General features: G+C 38.4%; 1 protein-coding gene across 4 annotated transcripts in view; it reads left to right on the top strand.

The window, feature by feature from the left end:
• Window positions 1-17,819, top strand: part of SRGAP1 (SLIT-ROBO Rho GTPase activating protein 1) — a 317,518-nt gene that overhangs the window by 229,016 nt on the left and 70,683 nt on the right. For 3 of the 4 annotated variants that reach the window (NM_001346201.2, XM_024449096.2, XM_024449097.2), the window contains exons 9-11: window positions 5,204-5,401; window positions 6,571-6,655; window positions 13,284-13,311. In NM_001346201.2, the coding sequence (NP_001333130.1) occupies window positions 5,204-5,401; window positions 6,571-6,655; window positions 13,284-13,311 (311 nt within the window). Of the gene's footprint in view, window positions 1-5,203; window positions 5,402-6,570; window positions 6,656-13,283; window positions 13,312-17,560; window positions 17,664-17,819 lie in introns of all 4 variants that reach the window. The other variant, NM_020762.4, reaches the window with a different exon arrangement.

A 17,819-nucleotide genomic window follows, 5' to 3' on the forward strand; every position in this document is an offset into this window, starting at 1 on the left:
ATATTTTTGACCCACAGTTGGTTGAATTTGTGAATGGTTGAATACATGGATACAGAATCCATAAAAAAAAAAACCTGACTGTATTTGAAGACAAACTACAAATGTTTATTTTGGTTCATGATTCTTTTTGCGTTTTTTGGTTGTTCAGATGGATTTTGTGTTTTTTTGTTTGTTTGCTTTAGAAGCTTTTTTTGTCATTGTTTCCTTTAATTGTGTTTTAATTTAGGTACATATCAGAGCACCTTATTGAACCTTACATCATGTTATTCTTATGCTTCACCTCACTGATATCTGAAGAACATTATATATTTTTCATGTTTCTATGTATTTGGAAGTTCTGCTCTGCCCTCCAGAGCAAAAGAAGCTGTAGTTCTTTCCAGCAGTTTTGCTATTTAAGCCATCTGTTGAAAACGATTAACTGCTACTGCTGTTGCTTAAATGTTTTTCAAATATCCCCCATCATGTTCATTCCCACTCTTACTTCGTTAGATCAAGGTTTCATCATCTCTCAATGGGACTAGGGTCTCCTGACTAACTTTCGTGCTTTCTGTCTCTTTCCCTTTTATTGTTCATCAACTCAGGGATCTTTTAAAAATGTAAATCTAAACTGTCCCTTGTAGGTATCAGTGGCTCCCTGTTGATTCTCAATTAAGTGTGGTATATGAGGGCCTTTATTTTTTGTTTTATTTTTTAAAATTCTAACCCCAGTATCATACAATGGAAAGGTCCTTTATTAGCAAGTCATCTTCTCTAGATGCTATGCACTCCTACTTCTCATATAAAGCTACTTGTTTTAGCCCAAGAAGGCCAGGGTCTCTCTTTTCCCACTTTTTCCTCTGCCTGGAATGCCCTTTTTTTCAGTGAACACCTACTCACCTTTTAATACATACTCAAAATTTATCTTTTGAATGGCACCTTCCCTGACTTCTCAGACAACACAGTATACTGAGTTTTGCCTGTTTTCTTACATGTTTGTCAATTTCAAGAGTTTAATTGAATAAAGAAATAACAGCATTTACTTTGTAGTATTTTAATTACTAAATATTGGCACAAGTAAAGGCTTCCATTTTTTAAAAGTATTATAAATATAAAATTTATGGAGATGTAGATAACATAGTCAAATATTTACCTTCAGTATTCAGCTATTAATTTAGTTATGCACAAATATTTTAAATCACATTATATAAAACTTTTAATTTAGAAATACTATATTTTTCTCATTTTCACAATTTTATGAAGGCTCTTCATATATCCTGATATTGTGTTTGTCATTACCAGAGCCACATTTTGAGTCTGCCGAGACCACCTCGGTCGGGGAGACCCTAACCCAGCGGCGCTAGAGAAATTAAAGACACACGCACAGAAATATAGAGGTGTGAAGTAGGAAATCAGGGGTCTCACAGCCTTCAGAGCTGAGAGCCCCAAACAGAGATTTACCCACATATTTATTAACAGCAAGCCAGTCATTAGCATTGTTTCTATAGATATTCGATTAACTAAAAGTATCCCTTATGGGAAACGAAGGGATGGGCCGAATTAAAGGAATAGGTTGGGCTAGTTAACTGCAGCAGGAGCATGTCCTTAAGGCACAGATCGCTCATGCTATTGTTTGTGGCTTAAGAATGCCTTTAAGCAGTTTTCCGACTTGGGCGGGCCAGGTGTTCCTTGCCCTCTTGCGGTAAACCCACAACCTTCCAGTGTGGGTGTTATGGCCATCATGAACATGTCACAGTGCTGCAGGGATTTTGTTTATGGCCAGTTTTGGGGCCAGTTTATGGCCAGATTTTGGGGGGCTTGTTCCCAACAGAGTCATCAAGTACACTTTTCTCAGAGTATACCATCTTCACATCTGTTTGTTTGAAATACAGTGCTTTTAAAACCTGTGCGTGATACTGTCATTAGAAATTTGTCTACAAGCTACAAGAGCCTATTTGACTAGTGTAGGATGGTGACTCTTTTAATTCAGTCTATAGATATTTGATTATGACCTCCTTAAAGTAATTAATTACAGTATTTTTAATGGTCATTAATATGCTTTTTTTCCAACAGTATCTACTCTTTGCATTGTGCATAACCCCAGGAATGATTATTGTCTATTAAATTTCTTTCCCTTCTTTTTTTAATATTAATTCCATCACATGACCTTCTAAGCATCCAAACTAGTACTAATTGCTACTGTTTCTTTCCCAAACATTATTTTGTTCAAAAAAAAAAAAAAGTAATTGAAAAGATTTCCACTTCCTGTAATGATGGACTGGGTCACTCAACTGATTCTTTCAAAGTTCATTTTCTAGGACAAGATGCATGGCCAAGCCTGAAACCTGTGACACAGGGAACCATATCTTCCCAAAAGGAAGAGCATCCAATATTTTGAACAGTAATAAAATCCAGAGATTCTGAGCTATTAGTGCCCCTAATGGTTTGGGAAAATAAACATTCTCTTTGGAGGATAACCTCACCTTTGACCTCAAGTAACTCTACAAAAAATATCTAGCAAAGATAATTAGACAATGAGGAGATAAGAAACCATGAGTGATAGCCAGAAGAAATAATAGACAATAGAGACACACCCACAGGAACTCCAGATATTGGGATTATCAGAAATAAATGACAAAAGAACTATTTACAATGTTCAAGGAGGTTTTTAAAAGCCAAGCTTAGATTTCATCAGGAAATCATAAGCACTAAAATAACAGATTTGAAAATGAGCTACATAGGAATTCTAGCACTGAGAAATAACCAAAATTAAGAAAGCAGTGGGTGAGTTTAACATCAGGTAGAGCTAAAAAATAAATCATGAAAGCAGACAAATCAGAAGAAATAATAAAAACGCAGCATCAAAAACAAAAGATAATAAAATATGGAAAAGAAGAATAAGAGATATAGAGAACACAGTAATGTCTAATATACTAATTGAACTCCCAGAAAGAAAAAAAAATTTTTTTTTTTGAGACAGAGTCTCACTTTTTCGCCCAGGCTGGAGTGCAGTGGCACGATCTCAGCTCACTGCACCCTCTGCCTCCTGGGTTCAGGCAATTCTTCTGACTCAGCTTCCCGAGTAGCTGGATTACAGGCACATACCACCACGCCCAGCTATTTTGTATTTTTAGTAGAGACAGGGTTTCACCATATTGGCCAGGCTGGTCTCGAACTCCTGACCTCAAGCGATCCACCGCCTCAGCCTCCCAAAGTGCTGGGATTACAGGTGTGAGTCACCACGCCCCGCTCAGAAAGAAAAATTAAAGAATATAGAGTCAATATTTGAAAAGATAAAAGCTGCAAACTTACTAAAACCTATGAAAAACATCACACAAATTCAAGCAGTCCAAGAAATTCCAGGCAGAATATATTTTTTAAATCCTTACCTAGATATATTACAGTGAAATTGTAGAAACCCAAAGATGAATGGAAAATTTTTAAAGCAGCTGGAAAAAGAAAGCAGATTTTATTCAAAGCAATGACAGACTGATGGTAACCTTCTCACTCAACAGGAACATAGAAGCCACAACAAAGTACAGTGATATATTTCTAATATACAAAAAGAAAATAACTGCTGCACAGAAAAAGATATTTAGTAAATGAAGGTGAAATAAAAGACGTTGTCAAGTCAACAAAACAGACACATACTAAAAAGAACTTCTAAAGGGTACACTTAAAATATAAGCACTCGACATCAAAGAATGTAATAAATACATGGGTGATGCTAAGTGAATCTTGACTACATAAAATAATAATGTCTTAAATTTATATATTAATATTTATATATATTCTATTATAATATATTACAAAAATAGCATATAAATCAGGAGGAGTAAATGAAGTTAAGGTGTTCTAAACTCTTTACATTGTGTGACAGAAGGAAAAAGCTATCAATTTACATTATACTTTGATAAGCAAAGGTAGAATATGACCTTCAGTGAATAAAAAGACTACTAGGAGATTAATAAATAAATAAGCTCCTAACAGATAACATAAAGCAGTATCTTTATGGCTATGAGATAGGAAAATATTTCTTAAATAGGACACAAAAAACACTAAAAGGAAAGAATTGATAAATGCATTATATTAAAATTAGAATCTTTGTTCATCTGGACACTATTGAAAGAGGGAAAAACCACAGCACAGTGGGGAAAAATATTTGCAACACATACAACTACAAAAAGACTCATATCCATCTCAACAAATCATTAAGAAAAAGACTCATAACTTAGAAAATGGAGCAAGAGATTTTAACAAAGTGTTCTCAATTAAGGAGATCCAAATTGCCTTAAACATATGATAATGTGCTCAATCTCATATATCAGGGAAATGCATATTCAAACCACAGTGAGATACCACTGCACACCCAACACAATTGTTTAAATTTAAAAGAAAGACTGACAATACCAACTGTTGATGAGGATGTGGAATAGCAGGGATTCTTCCACTCTGCTGGTGAGAATGTAAATTACAATCATTTTGGAAAACAGTTAAGCAGCAATTCTATTCATATATGTGTGACTAAACAAAAATGTGTTTATAGCAGCATTATTCAAAATAGCCCACAACTAAAAAAAATCATCTATCAATAGTAAAATGGATGAATTACAGTGTATTCCTACAATGAATAGCAGTGAAATATACTCACAAGAAATGAGTGTATCTCACGTTGAGCAAAAGGAAGACAAAAATTATACATCCTGTAGGATTTCATTCATGTAAAGAGCAAGAAAGGGCAAAGCTAATATCTAATCTTAGAAGTCCAGTTAATGGAGAAGGAGAGGGTATAGGTGTATGGTAATTGGGAGAGGCACAAGCAGTCTCATAATATACTTTTTCTTGGTCTGATTGTTACTCACATAGGTGTGCTCCCTTTGTGATAATTCATCATCAAGCTGCACACTTATGGTCTGTGTATTTTTCTATGTGTAGTTTGACTTCAATTGAAAATGTTAAGACAAAAAAGTAATTGAGAGAGTACCCAGATATGAGATTTATAAGGACTGAAATATAAAGTGATAACCTCCTTAGGATGATTTTGAAGAAATCATTCTCTTAAACTGGTGATATGGAGTGTTTTTTACCTTTGTTTCTCTCCTAATAGACTGTGAATTTGGCGGGGGCAGGCCCTGTGTCCTCATCTCTACCTGACAGAGTGGACTCTCCCTGTTTGTGGGATTCATGAAATAATGTACTAACGTGAGAAATGTATTTCTATTCCCAGGTTAAGAAAACGACTGAAGCCACCTTGCAGACGATACAAGATATGGTCACCATCGAGGACTATGATGTTTCTGAATGCTTCCAGCACAGTCGTTCCACAGAATCAGTGAAGTCCACTGTCTCTGAAACCTACCTGAGTAAACCCAGCATCGCCAAGAGAAGAGCCAACCAGCAGGAAACTGAACAGTTCTACTTCATGGTGTGCCCGCCACTTCCCAAGCCACTCTACAGAGCTCAGATCTAGGATTCCCAAGTGCCACTTCTATAGTCACATCAGAACCATCTGGGGTTCCTTTTGTTAAAATAGACTCCTGTCTACCATCAGAGTTCCTGATTCAGTCAGTTTCGGAAAGAGTTTAGGAGTTATTTAGGAGTTAGTTAGTTAGGAGTTATTTAGTTAGTTAGAGGACTGGTATAAAACAGTACTTTTAGCTGGGCACAGGGGCTCACCCCTCTAATCCCAACACTTGCGAGGCTGAGGTGGGAGGATCATTTGAGCCCAGGAGTTTGGGACCAGCCTGGGCATCATGGCAAAACCCTGTCTCTACAAAACATATATATATATTTATATTTATATATATTTATATATGTTTTTATATTTATATAGATATATAAATTAGCCAGCAGGCATAATGATGTGCAATTGTAGTCCTAGCTACTTGGGAGGCTGAGGTGAGAGGATCGCCTAAGCCTAGGAGGCAGAGGTTGCAGTGAGCTGAGATCATTCTACTGCACTCCAGCCTGGGCAAGAGAGTGAGACCCCAACTCTAAAATTTAAAAACACACAGTACTTTTAAACTTTAATATCTATACATGTCACCAGGAGAGCTGGTGAAAGTGCCAGTTCTTATTTCCAGAGGTCTGGTACAGAAGGAACCTGAGAGTGTGCATCTCTCCTAGGCTCCCAAGGGTTGGCTGATGCTGCTGGTCTGCAGACCACACTTCAAGTAACAAGTTTCTGGCGTCTAGAAGATCAAAGTGGCTGGATTTTAGATCTATGAAAAGTTCCTTGACATTGAATAATTTTTAAAAATTAAAAATTAGGCTGGGTGCAGTGGCTCACGCCTGTAATCCCAGCACTTTGGGAGGCCGAGGCAGGCGGATCACCTGAGGTCAAGAGTTCAAGACAAGCCTGGCCAATACGGAGAAACCCCATCTCTACTAAAAATAGAAAAATTAGCCAGGTGTGGTGGCGGGCGCTTATAATCCCAGCTACTCAGGAGGCTGAGGCAGGAGAATCGCTTGAACCCCAGAGGAAGAGGTTGCAGTGAGCCAAGATCGCGCCACTGCACTCCAGCCTGGGTGACAAGAATGAAACTCTGTCTCAAAAAAAAAAAAAGATTTAAAAATTATTCTTGCCTTTTGCAGAAACTCAGAGAATATTTGGAAGGCAGTAATCTCATCACAAAACTTCAAGCCAAACATGACTTGCTGCAGAGGACCCTGGGAGAAGGTGAGTTATCCAAAATGTATGGGAAGATGACCTGGATGATACATCGTATCATGTATATATTCCAGAAAGAGTATGAATTGTATATTTGTGCTTTAAGAAGCAGAGGACACTCTGTGTTTAGATTTGGTTTTGTTTGTATATGTCATGATTAAGTTCTCCTGGCACGATTTTCTTCTAAAGCATGGTGCTAACCTTGAGGAAGCGTAGTGAAATCTAGGGAGGGCTGGAAAGTCAATACCGAGCTCCTAGGGAGGGATCTTCAGAGTGTGGTGCTCCTGATCGTAGAAAAGTCTGGAAACACTGCCCCTCCCCTACCTGCTGACCCCCCAGTCTCTTCTTCCTTCCCTTCTCAGACTTCTGCACCCTTCCAACCCCACCCCTGTTTGTTTTAATGGGCGAGTATTTGTTGTTCCATCTGTTGCCTGTTTAGACTCTGGAAACCAGTTAAACCAGTTTGGGTGATTTTTTTCTTTCAGCAGGCATTGGCTGTAGTTGAGAAACAATCTTAAAGTATAAGTAGATTGCTATGTCTAATAATAGTAACAAAACAACAGCAACAGCTAACACTTGAAAGGCTTTCTCTGTGCCAGGCTTTGTTCTGAGTTGTATATTTTACTGTGCACTAATAATTTCTCCGTTTTTACAAATGAGGAAACTGAGGGGAGGCATGAGAATACAGGCAAAGGGGACTGTATAAATGTTAATGTTTCTCTTTGTCTTTATGAAATTTAAAAGGAAAAAAATAAATACAAGCCAAGTTCCTGTCTTAAGTGCTTCATAGTCTGTAACTTTATCTTTTATTCACACTAGACCCTGCCAGAAGTTAGAAAAAGTAAAAGAGAATGTGGAAGGGAGTGGGAAATGAGAGGACTGAGTTGTGTGAGTAACTCAGGTCAAAAAAGAGATTGCGCCTCTTAGACCTAAATTCTTGCCTCCCACAATTCTGGAACCTTCCTTAACCATAAAGTTTCTATCACCTTATCTCCTGGTTTCCACCAAAGAACTCATCATCCTCAGGGAATGACCACATGGAGAAAGGTTATCATGACCTAAGAACCATGTCTGACACAGTTAGGATGAAAAGGCCAATTACACCTAGAAGGAAAAAAAAAAAACAACGCAAACTACTAAAAAGTGTCATTAAAAAATAAAATAACCAAATACAATGTATGAACCTTCACACACTAGATTAAATTAGATACTGAATCAAAAAGCAAAAGTTATGAAAGACATTTTAAGAACAATTAGGGAAGTTGAAATACAGACTGTATATTAAATAATATTATTGAATTAGTGTTAATTTTCCTAGATATGATAATGGTATTGTGATTATAAAGAAGAACATTCTTATTCTTAAGAAATGCTTGCTAAAGTGTCATGATGTCTGCAACTTACCTTCAAATGGTTCTAAAAAAAAAAAGAGGGAGAGAGAAAGAAGGTACAGTCAATGTGGCAAACATTAACAGCCGGAAAATCTACATGAAGGGGATAAGGATACTTCCTGTACTGCTCTTTTAACTCTTCTGTAGGTTTGAACTTTAAAAAAAAAAAAAAGTCTTTTTATCTTTGAATAGTTTTCTTATAATTGTGTCCTGTTTTTTCTTTTTTCCCTCACAGTGTCATGTAAGGTCTTTTTTTTTTTTTTTTTTTTTCAATTTTTCACAAATGCCTGATATTTCAAGTGATGCCCTCAAGGTCAGTTGCCAGGCCCAAAGCATAAATTATCCTAAGTGTAGATGAACGCTTATAGGCACAAAGTCCTACCCTATGAGGATGGATACCACTTTAGAAATTGTGTTTGAGAGCATGAAGTAGTGGGGGAATTCATTCTTGGCACTGCTTGCAGACACATGTGTTAATATGCTTGGGGCCACATTCTGAAACTTTTATGGTACCTATTCAACATGGATTCTCTTGTGTCTCCTAGAGAGAAAGCCCCAATGGTTAATATTCTTCTACATGTCATTATTGGATGGGGCTATATTCTAGCCAATTTATTGAGTCCACATGCCAAATTCCGTCTTTAGCTGCTGAACTGCATAAATCTGTATTATACTTTGTGAACTGCAAGCCAGAATTTTCTTTTTTTTTTTTTTTGAAATGGAGTTTCACTGTCATCGCCCAGGCTGGAGTGCAGTGGTGCAATCTAAGCTCACTGCAACCTCCACCTCCCAGGTTTAAGTGATTCTCCAGCCTTGCCTGCTGAGTAGCTGGGATTACAGGCATTTGCCACCACGCCCAGCTAATTTTGTATTTTTAGTAGAGACAGGGGTCTCACCATGTTGGCCAGGCTGGTCTCGAACTCCTGACCTCAGGATCCACCCACCTTAGCCTCCCAAAGTGCTGAGATTACAGGCATGGGCCACCGTGCCCAGCTCAGGATTTCTTTATCTTGGAATTTTTTTCAACGGGCTCTGGTATACCAGGGACACAAGCTGTGCTGACGTGTATAAAACCTTCACAGGACTCCATTTATGCTGCAGAAGAAACTGGATAGCTTTCATCCATCAGCAGCAGGCACACTAGCCTCTGCCCACTGGTTGCAGACATCTCTGCTTCCTAGCCCTGCCCCTTTTGCAGGCTGGGTGGCACACCAATTGCTGGTCACTGCCTGGATATGACACTGACAAATTTGCCCAGAGAAAAGCTGAGCATGGGAGACATGCCCCACCTTTTAACTCAACCATTATAAGCCTGCTGGCTTTCTGTGCAAGCCCTCTTCATGTTAATAGGCTACATCAAAGGAGACCAGGAGAGTTAATGGCGCCCATCACATAGTGAAGTAATCCCATGGTGAGCTCTTATGGAGGAATCTGAGTCCAGATTTGGTGTGATAGGGTTACTAATACAGGATTCAATGGTTATGTTTGGGGACAGTCCTGACTTTTTATATAGAAATCACCTCTCTGAAGTATACTAGACTCACCGCTGCAAAAACTGCCTTCATAGTAAAACAAATAGAGCCTAACCCGAAGATTTAGCAGTTGCTCGTACACAGCTGAATCTGTAACTACAGACATGTGTTTGGCCTGCCTTACTGCTCGCTTTTTGGTAGGCTGCCAATGGCCCAGTAAGTTCTTTGATTTACAACATTGTGAAGCAACTAGATTGGGCTCTTAAAGTGGCACTGTCAAAATTCAGAATTCCAAATCTTTGAAAACTACTGAAATAGAAAGAAGCACGCAATGAGTTGTTAAGACCAAACTCATTATTATCATTTTCTTCATCCCTCAGCAACACCATTGTATCTTTTTGTGATGTCATTTGTTTTTAAATCATAGAAGTTAAATTGACCACAGTAAATGAGATATACATCTATAAAACTGAGGCACTGATTTTTTTTTTCTTTTTCAGTAATGAGCCTTAATGTTCACATTGGCTTCTTTGTGTGCAGCATTTGGAGTTAAGGGGGTGCAAATATCAGTGCGATTTTGCTAAATAAAAAATCTGATACTAGGAGCTGAGCTCCATATTTTATTGCTTCTTGCCCTGGGCATAAGGTTTCTGACAAAGGAATTTAATAGATTATCCTCATACAATCCATTGTCTGTCTTTGAGTAGGAGTACAAGTATACTTTCAAAAGGGAAGCTGAATGTGAGTAATTATGGTTTTTTAGAAAAGCACTGCAGTAGTTGGTATTCTTAAGGAAGAAAAAGGACTGGAAAGTAATGCCAGGAGTTCTCATCAGTCATTCATTAGGGAGCAAATCCAGGATGCCTGTGTCTCATTTGAGCCATACACATTTTAAGTATTTTATCTCCTTTTTTAAAATATCAAATTGCCACCAAACTGTATTTTGGTTATCCCATTAACTATATGTAGGAGATAAAATGCATTTAGGTGTGAAAAATAATTCACTTCATAATTCTCGAGTGAAATTTAAGAGTAGCTGAAAAAAAATGTTTGAACCAAGAACAAGTTAAGCCTGGGTTATTTTTTTCCTTCAAAATGGCTTATATGTTGGGGGGTGTGGCGAGGGGAAGGAGTGGTCCGTTGTTTTTAATAATTAAGTAGCTTTCCAAAGAAAATGATTGAAATCTAATCCTCAGACTGCTGGAAGCTTTCACATTTCTCTGGGAAGAAGAGTCTTCTAAGCTTGTGTGTTATTGATCTATTAATGATGATACTGATTAAAAAATAAAACCTCATTCATCAGTTGAGACACACTCAGGACTATTAGCTGAAAAAACGATGGATGTGGTAGTGTGGTTATACTGTGAATCATAGTTCTTGCAAAGCACGCTCTTGGTTCATTATTCAAAATGTATCTTTTATAGGTTTTTAATTTTTTATCTCATACTATTAACTATGGATGGATGGAGCAAAATAATTTTAAGCATTTTACATATCATTTTCTAAATCTAGGGAATAATTTGTTAGGATATTGTTACAAAAATAGCAGAATTTCAAAGTTATAACACATTTCATTTCTAAGGAATTCTCATTGGCATCATTATTGAATCACTTGAAAGTGATTACCTATGTTATTAAATTTACATTTATAGATATTAATTTAATAATGTACATATTTATAGAATTTATTAAATTTATTTAAATATTCAGTATTTTGTATTTGGCTTTAGGCATATGAGGCAGACAGAATTGTAAGCCATAATACCTACCTTTCTTCTAGGATCTTTCAAAGTATTTGCCAGGAAAAAAGACTTACGTTTTTAAAGGTGGTACATTATAGTGCTTGGGAGCTAGTACATTATAGTTCCTGGGATCTCAGGACTGGGATTAAAACAAACTTGGACCTGAGTGCCACACCCACCCCATACTAATAGCGTGACCTTGGGCAAGTCACTTTTCTATATGCTCAGTCTTTTCTGTAAAATAAGGATAACAATAGAAGCTACCTCATAAAGTCGTTGTGAAAATTGTGAGTTAATATATGTAATATAAAGTGCTTATAATGGTGTCTAATAAATATTAGACATCATTGCTGTTTTTATTGTTGTTACTAATATATATTGCATCATACCTAATTAGACTTAATGCTGTCATAAAGTATGCAACATAACAACATAATACAACACAAGCCAGACAGTTTCTCTACCCTCAACCCTTTGCACATTCTACTGCCTCACACTGGGTGATCTTACGTGGCTCGTATGGACCCAACACAACCTAAATGGTGGTGACTCTCACATCTTTATCTCCAGCCCTGTCTTTTCTCTGTGCTCTAACCCTGTATAGCCAGCTTGCTGCCGAACACTGCCATTAGGATATCCCATAAGGCACCACATACCACAGTCAGCTCACCATCTGCCCACTCTACTTCTCAGTAGACCTTCACTCCCATTCATGAATAGCTATAAATTATTCTGAAGTTCTATGTACACCTTCACCTTTTTCTTCTCCTCCAAGGTAGCAGAAGGCCAGCAAAAGGAAGGGACTTATAACTTAAATAAGTAGAACTGGGAAGAGGAGGAAGAGGAGATTCTTCCCTTCCCTTCATCCCCACTTCAAGTCATGTCCATGAACTCATTCTGCCAACATTTTTACTGTGGCCTGGCCCTATGTGAAGAAAGGTAGTCTCAGATTTTAACTGTTTCACCCTATTTAATCAATAGATATTAACCAAATCCTTTATGTTATTTGTTATTCAAGAGGAGATAATAGAGTCAAAGGCTCTACTGCAGCCTGGAAGTGTTGGTTCACCATTCCCAACAAGCCAGCTTTCTTTACCATTGTCATGTTGGCCTTGCCCTAGAAATCTGAATCACTGCATTATGATATGATAGGCTGAGCTTAGCTGTTTGTGCTGCAACGTGACCATCCCCTGCCAGCTATATTTTCAAGCTGTTTCAGGACCATGTCATTATTTTGCAAACAAACCAGCTGAATGGTTCAATGTTTCCCACATTCCTTCCCACTACTCCGCCCTAAATGTACAAAGCAACCGATAAACACATGCAAACTTGAAATTATTGCAGATTGTCGGAGCCCTACAAAAATTCAGCCCTGTTACTTAAAACAAGTCAAGAAACCCAAATGTATAAGAAGTTGATGTTTTAATGGACAGAGAACTCTGTGAAAGGCTTTTAGCTTACAAGTTGGTGGAATGTAGTATCATTTAATGTCCTTGTACTTTAATATTCGCAAATGTCATTTCTGATTACAGAATACAGCTTCTCTCCAGTCCCCTGATTCATATTATAGAAAGAACACCAACTTAGTCTAAGGAAAATTGAACCCTCCCAACTGTATTTGAACCCATCCTTCTCGCTAACAAGTGTCAGTCAAAACAGAGAGAATAACTAACATCTAAATCTTGGATATGTCTTATTTGTATTTCATTTTTGGGCTTACAGTTATGATCAAGCAGCTATTCTTGTTTCTTTTCTGAAAAAAAAAAAAAAAAAAAACACAGCCTCAAATTGCCAAGTGAAACATGATTCTCAAATCTATAGAATTTATTAAATTTTATGTATAGATTTTATGAAATGTTTACACTGAATTATGTGTCTATCTTCATATGCTATCCTCATGTTTTCTGCCATAAAAACGTGTAAGTTATTACAAACTCAGTGTTTTAAAATACCGGATAGGAGATACAAAAGAGTACCACATACACTCTGCTGATTCCTTTCAGTTTACTTACTTTAAATTTTTTTCCTGCAGGTCATAGAGCTGAATATATGACTACAAGGTAGGAAAATATTTTATCATAACTTATAGCGTATTTTACTTTCTCTTTAACAAGAAGCAACCATTTCAATGCTGAAAGAATTAACATTTTGTTAATGAATACGGGAGATAGTTTTGGCTTGACAAAGCATAGCAACATGAAATGTTTGGGCTTCTTACAAGACTAGGTATGTTCTAGCTTATTTTTGTTTCCCTCTGGAATTGTAAAGCTCTTTAATAGGCAGAGACAGTAACAAAAACCTAAGTTAAACCGGCTTGGTTTATCTAATCCAGAATACTTTAACTGTTTCTAAATAGCGTGACAGGACTTTTGATTTGATAGTTTAATTAAAAAAAAAATACGACGTGTACATCTACTGCATAAGTAAGTAGAAAGTACAATTATTTTCTGTTCCTATTTTCCTTTAGTCATATAAACATTAGAGCTGGCCGGGTGCAGTGGCTCAGCCTGTAATCCCAGCACTTTGGGAGACTGAGGCGGGTGGATCACCTGAGGTCAGGAGCTCACGACCAGCCTGGCCAATGTGGTGAAACCCTGTCTCTACTAAAAATACCAAAAAATTAGCCGGGCGTGGTGGTGTGCGCCTGTAATCCCAGCTACTCAGGAGGCTGGGGCAGGAAAATCACTTGAACCCGGCAGGCGGAGGTTGCAGTGAGCCAAGATTGCGCCACCACACTCCAGCCTGGGCAAGAGCGAGACTCCATCTCAAAAAATAAAAATAAAAAATAAAAATAAAAATTTGAGCTATATTGAATATCTTTAGGATTTTAGCTGTCTATATATTCTCCATTTTGATTCACTTTAAACATTTAACTTTTAACACATACTCCCATATTGTACTTTCTTCATTCAGGGGAGGATTGTGAAGCTACTACAAGAAAGGAAAGCCATTTGGGCAGCAGATTCTGATTTGGGTTCGGGAAAGTTTGTGGCAACTTTTATTTTTCTATGTCACCATTTGTGCAACAGACAGAAATTATCTAATTAGCATAGCAAGATGTTGCATTTTTGAAATTGAGTTCTCTTTGAAATAAGACGCATTTAGAACACTGGTATATCTGCTGCAGTAATTGGCAAGTTGACTTTCAAGGATCTATAATGTTATTGCTGGGCAGCTTATTCATAAGGAAGCCCCTCGTACTTCATGGTAAACCAACTAGAAAGATACAGCTCCTGACTTTTCCAAACCTAACAAAAGAAAAAAACACTGAGGTTTTTCTTCACTGTGTCAGTGAAAAAGAAGACTATTACCTCGACCTGGTAATATGCAGCTTATAGAGATGTTTTTCACCTATAGCATCTCCTTGCACTATCAATTATTTTACCTGTTGTTTCTCAATTATAATTACTGTAAGGCACTTCAAAAAAAGAGATTTTTTTAAAAAGCAGAAATGGAAATATATTAATTTGCCATGAGAGCTATAATTGCCAAATAGACTAGATATTCACATCAACCTGACCAGTACTTCCTCTCATGTGGGCATCCTCTGTAGGAAACCAAATTATCAGGAAGTCATGTGGTAGCCACAGAATCAGAATGAGTCACGCAATTGGAATGTTGAACGTCCCTGGCTCTGTTCACTTGATGTGGGTGTAGCAGAGCAAGAATCATCAGACCTCTGCCATGGAAATTACTTTGATAAGCACTGAGGCAATTCGTTTTCATTCCAGGTTCCTCTCACAACTTGCATGCGTTCATATTTACCGTACTATAGAATCCTACAGAGGTGATTTTCAGGCCTTTCATAGAAGACTCAAAAGATATCCCTCCATTAGCCAGCATTACCCTGCGTCTCCCAGTCATGCGGGGACAATGATTCAGTGCATTGGAGGTTTTTGGCTCCGTCTACAAGATTGGCTTGCTCCGTGAATCAGTGACCAAACAAAATTCTAATCTGCTTAGCTTTGTCAGCTTCTCCAGATATCACCAGATGTGAAGCTCTCTTGGACCTTATTGTAATAACCACATTTTCTAGTTTTTTAATGCTTTGGTATATTGGGGACTTTCTGACCCCAGAAGTACTGCCCCTCCCGGGATTAGCCAATTCCTAGCAGTAGTAGTAAGAACTGGCTTGCCAAGTGTGCCTTTTGTATGCAAGCCAGGTGATCCAGACGACCTACCTCCAACCACCTCCTTCATGGTTCTGACACTCACGGCCACTATTCCCCTTCCCTAATCACCCCAAGGCCAGGTATAGGACAACTTAGGGATAGTCCCTATGCCCCAAAGCCCACTGGAATCATTCCAACTAGCCTATTCTAAACCTGCTTGCCCAGCTTCTCCCATTCCCTCCAGTGGGAACCACAATAAAGACTCCTGCCCACATTTTCCTTTGTGCCTTCTGCCTCCTGACCCACCCCGGTGCTTCCTTCTGTGGCCTCCCTGGTGGTGGGGCACATCCCCAACTCTTTAACAAACTATCTTTTCAGTGGTAGTTGTCTCCTGAACGTTGGCCTCCCCGTACCTGAATAAAAATGAAATCCACACTTTAAAACACTTTTAAAATAGTGAAAGGAGTGGATGAAATCAAGTATGTAGGGTTAAATGCTTTGGTGGTTGGTTGTTTTGTTCTTTTTACTCCTATCAGATTATTTCCTCCATGAATGGCCAGAACTCAGTGTATAAAAGAGATCTCAGAAATTTCATCCGTGGCAGGAGATGACATGTTGCCTGGTAGAAGTTTCCATATTCTCTCCTAGACACTTGCAAAGGCTTCTTTTAACCTCGCCAGCACTGTAGAACTTCAGGTGCTGCTTGCTGTGCACCTTGTTCATCATATGAGCCCATCTGCTGGGAGGGTCTTAGAATTTAGCTGTGGAAGGCTGTACCAGTAGGTTTGTTTCCATACATGATAGTGTCTAAGGAAGCTAGTCAGGCTTCCACGTAACTTCTTGGGATCTGGTATATGAACCAGACTTTCTGAACTTAAGCTAAATGAACTAAAAAAGATAAATTTTCCTAGAGTCTGAAGCTTAATGAAGGGCTTTACACAATTTCCTGGTGTGGTGTGTATCCTCCTATAAGTCTTGCAGTTAAAAAGGAGTTTTACATTAAAACATCCAGAGACAGGTCTCAGGGCTCTCCTTCCATGTATTTCATTCAGCACAGTAGTAGAAGTTGAGTCAGGTAATTCTGGCCTTCTTTCCACTAAAGGGAGAGAGCAGAAGAGGTTCCCTCTCTGCAGTCACAGGGCAAGATGTCACAGTTTCTAAATATACTACATGCTGCACTAGATGTGCATATGTCAGAGAGAATGGTTTATTCACCAGAGCAAATGGGCAGACTGGAGAGGAAGAGAGTCTGCAGTGGCATAAACAAGTACATCCTCAGATATTTAGGTGGTGGAATAGTTTGTTCTAAAGAAATAATAACTCATGCGAGCCTGTATGTCCCCCAAATTAGAAAAAGCAGTGAACCCAAATTATTTTTCTCACTTGTGACCTATTAATAGTTACTTTTGCATGAAATAAAATTCCATTACTGCTGGAGGGGTATCGAACAGATGTGATGTTACTTGCATTGGTTTGCTGGGCTGAGTGAGGTGGCTCACGCCTATAATTCCAGCACTTTGGGAGGCCAAGGTGGAAGGATCTTTTGAGCCCAGGAGTTCAAGACCAGCCTGGAAAACACAGGGGGACTCCGTCTCTATAAAAAATTTAAAAATTAGCTGGGCATGATGGCATGCGCCTGTAGTCCTAGCTACTTGGGCTGAGGTGGGAGGATCCCTTGAGCCCAGAAGAAGGTGGAGGCTGCAGTGAGCCATGATCATTCCACTACACTCCAGCCTGGGTAACAGAGCAAGACTCTGACTTAAAAAAAAAAATTATGTGTACCTAAAAATGTTATATTTAATTCCTCATTTGGGGATCTACCGGAGCCCTAATCTTTATGACCGGTTGTATCTTACTGTGTGACTTGTAAACCAAATAACAAGAATGCTGGTTTGTAACATTTGGCCAAATAGCTAACGAGTCTACTTGGTAGTGCTTATTTTAAAACAAACCAGCAAACAAACAAATGTCAGCTGCAGCATACAGGGAAACAGCAGTGTGAATAAACAATTTGTATGTTTTTTGATACAGAAGTGAAAGTAAATAAATGGGAAATGGGAGGGAATGTTTTCCCCTGTGATTGGGGGAGGGGAAGGAACCCAAGATTCCCGTGTTTTGTAATATTGATGTGACCTATAGATGTTTCATTTATTGTTTGATTTCTGCCATGCTCAGTAATTATATTCCCTTCCCTTAGGCCTCCAAATGTTCCCCCTAAGCCCCAGAAACACAGGAAGTCCAGGCCCCGCTCACAGTATAATACTAAGTTGTTTAATGGGGATTTGGAAACATTCGTCAAGGTACTGGCACCAGCCATCTGGGTGGCTGATCTCCATGCTTCTTACTATAATGGTCTCAGCCTCTTGTAAGAGGAGGAAGGTCATTATGTCCAAGTCTGTCCTGGGGCTCTTTGCTTTCCCAGAAAATCAATATAATATTTCCTGAAGTCAGAGAGG

This window comes from Homo sapiens, chromosome 12 (assembly GCF_000001405.40).
Source record: "Homo sapiens chromosome 12, GRCh38.p14 Primary Assembly".
Classification (NCBI taxonomy): domain Eukaryota; kingdom Metazoa; phylum Chordata; class Mammalia; order Primates; family Hominidae; genus Homo; species Homo sapiens.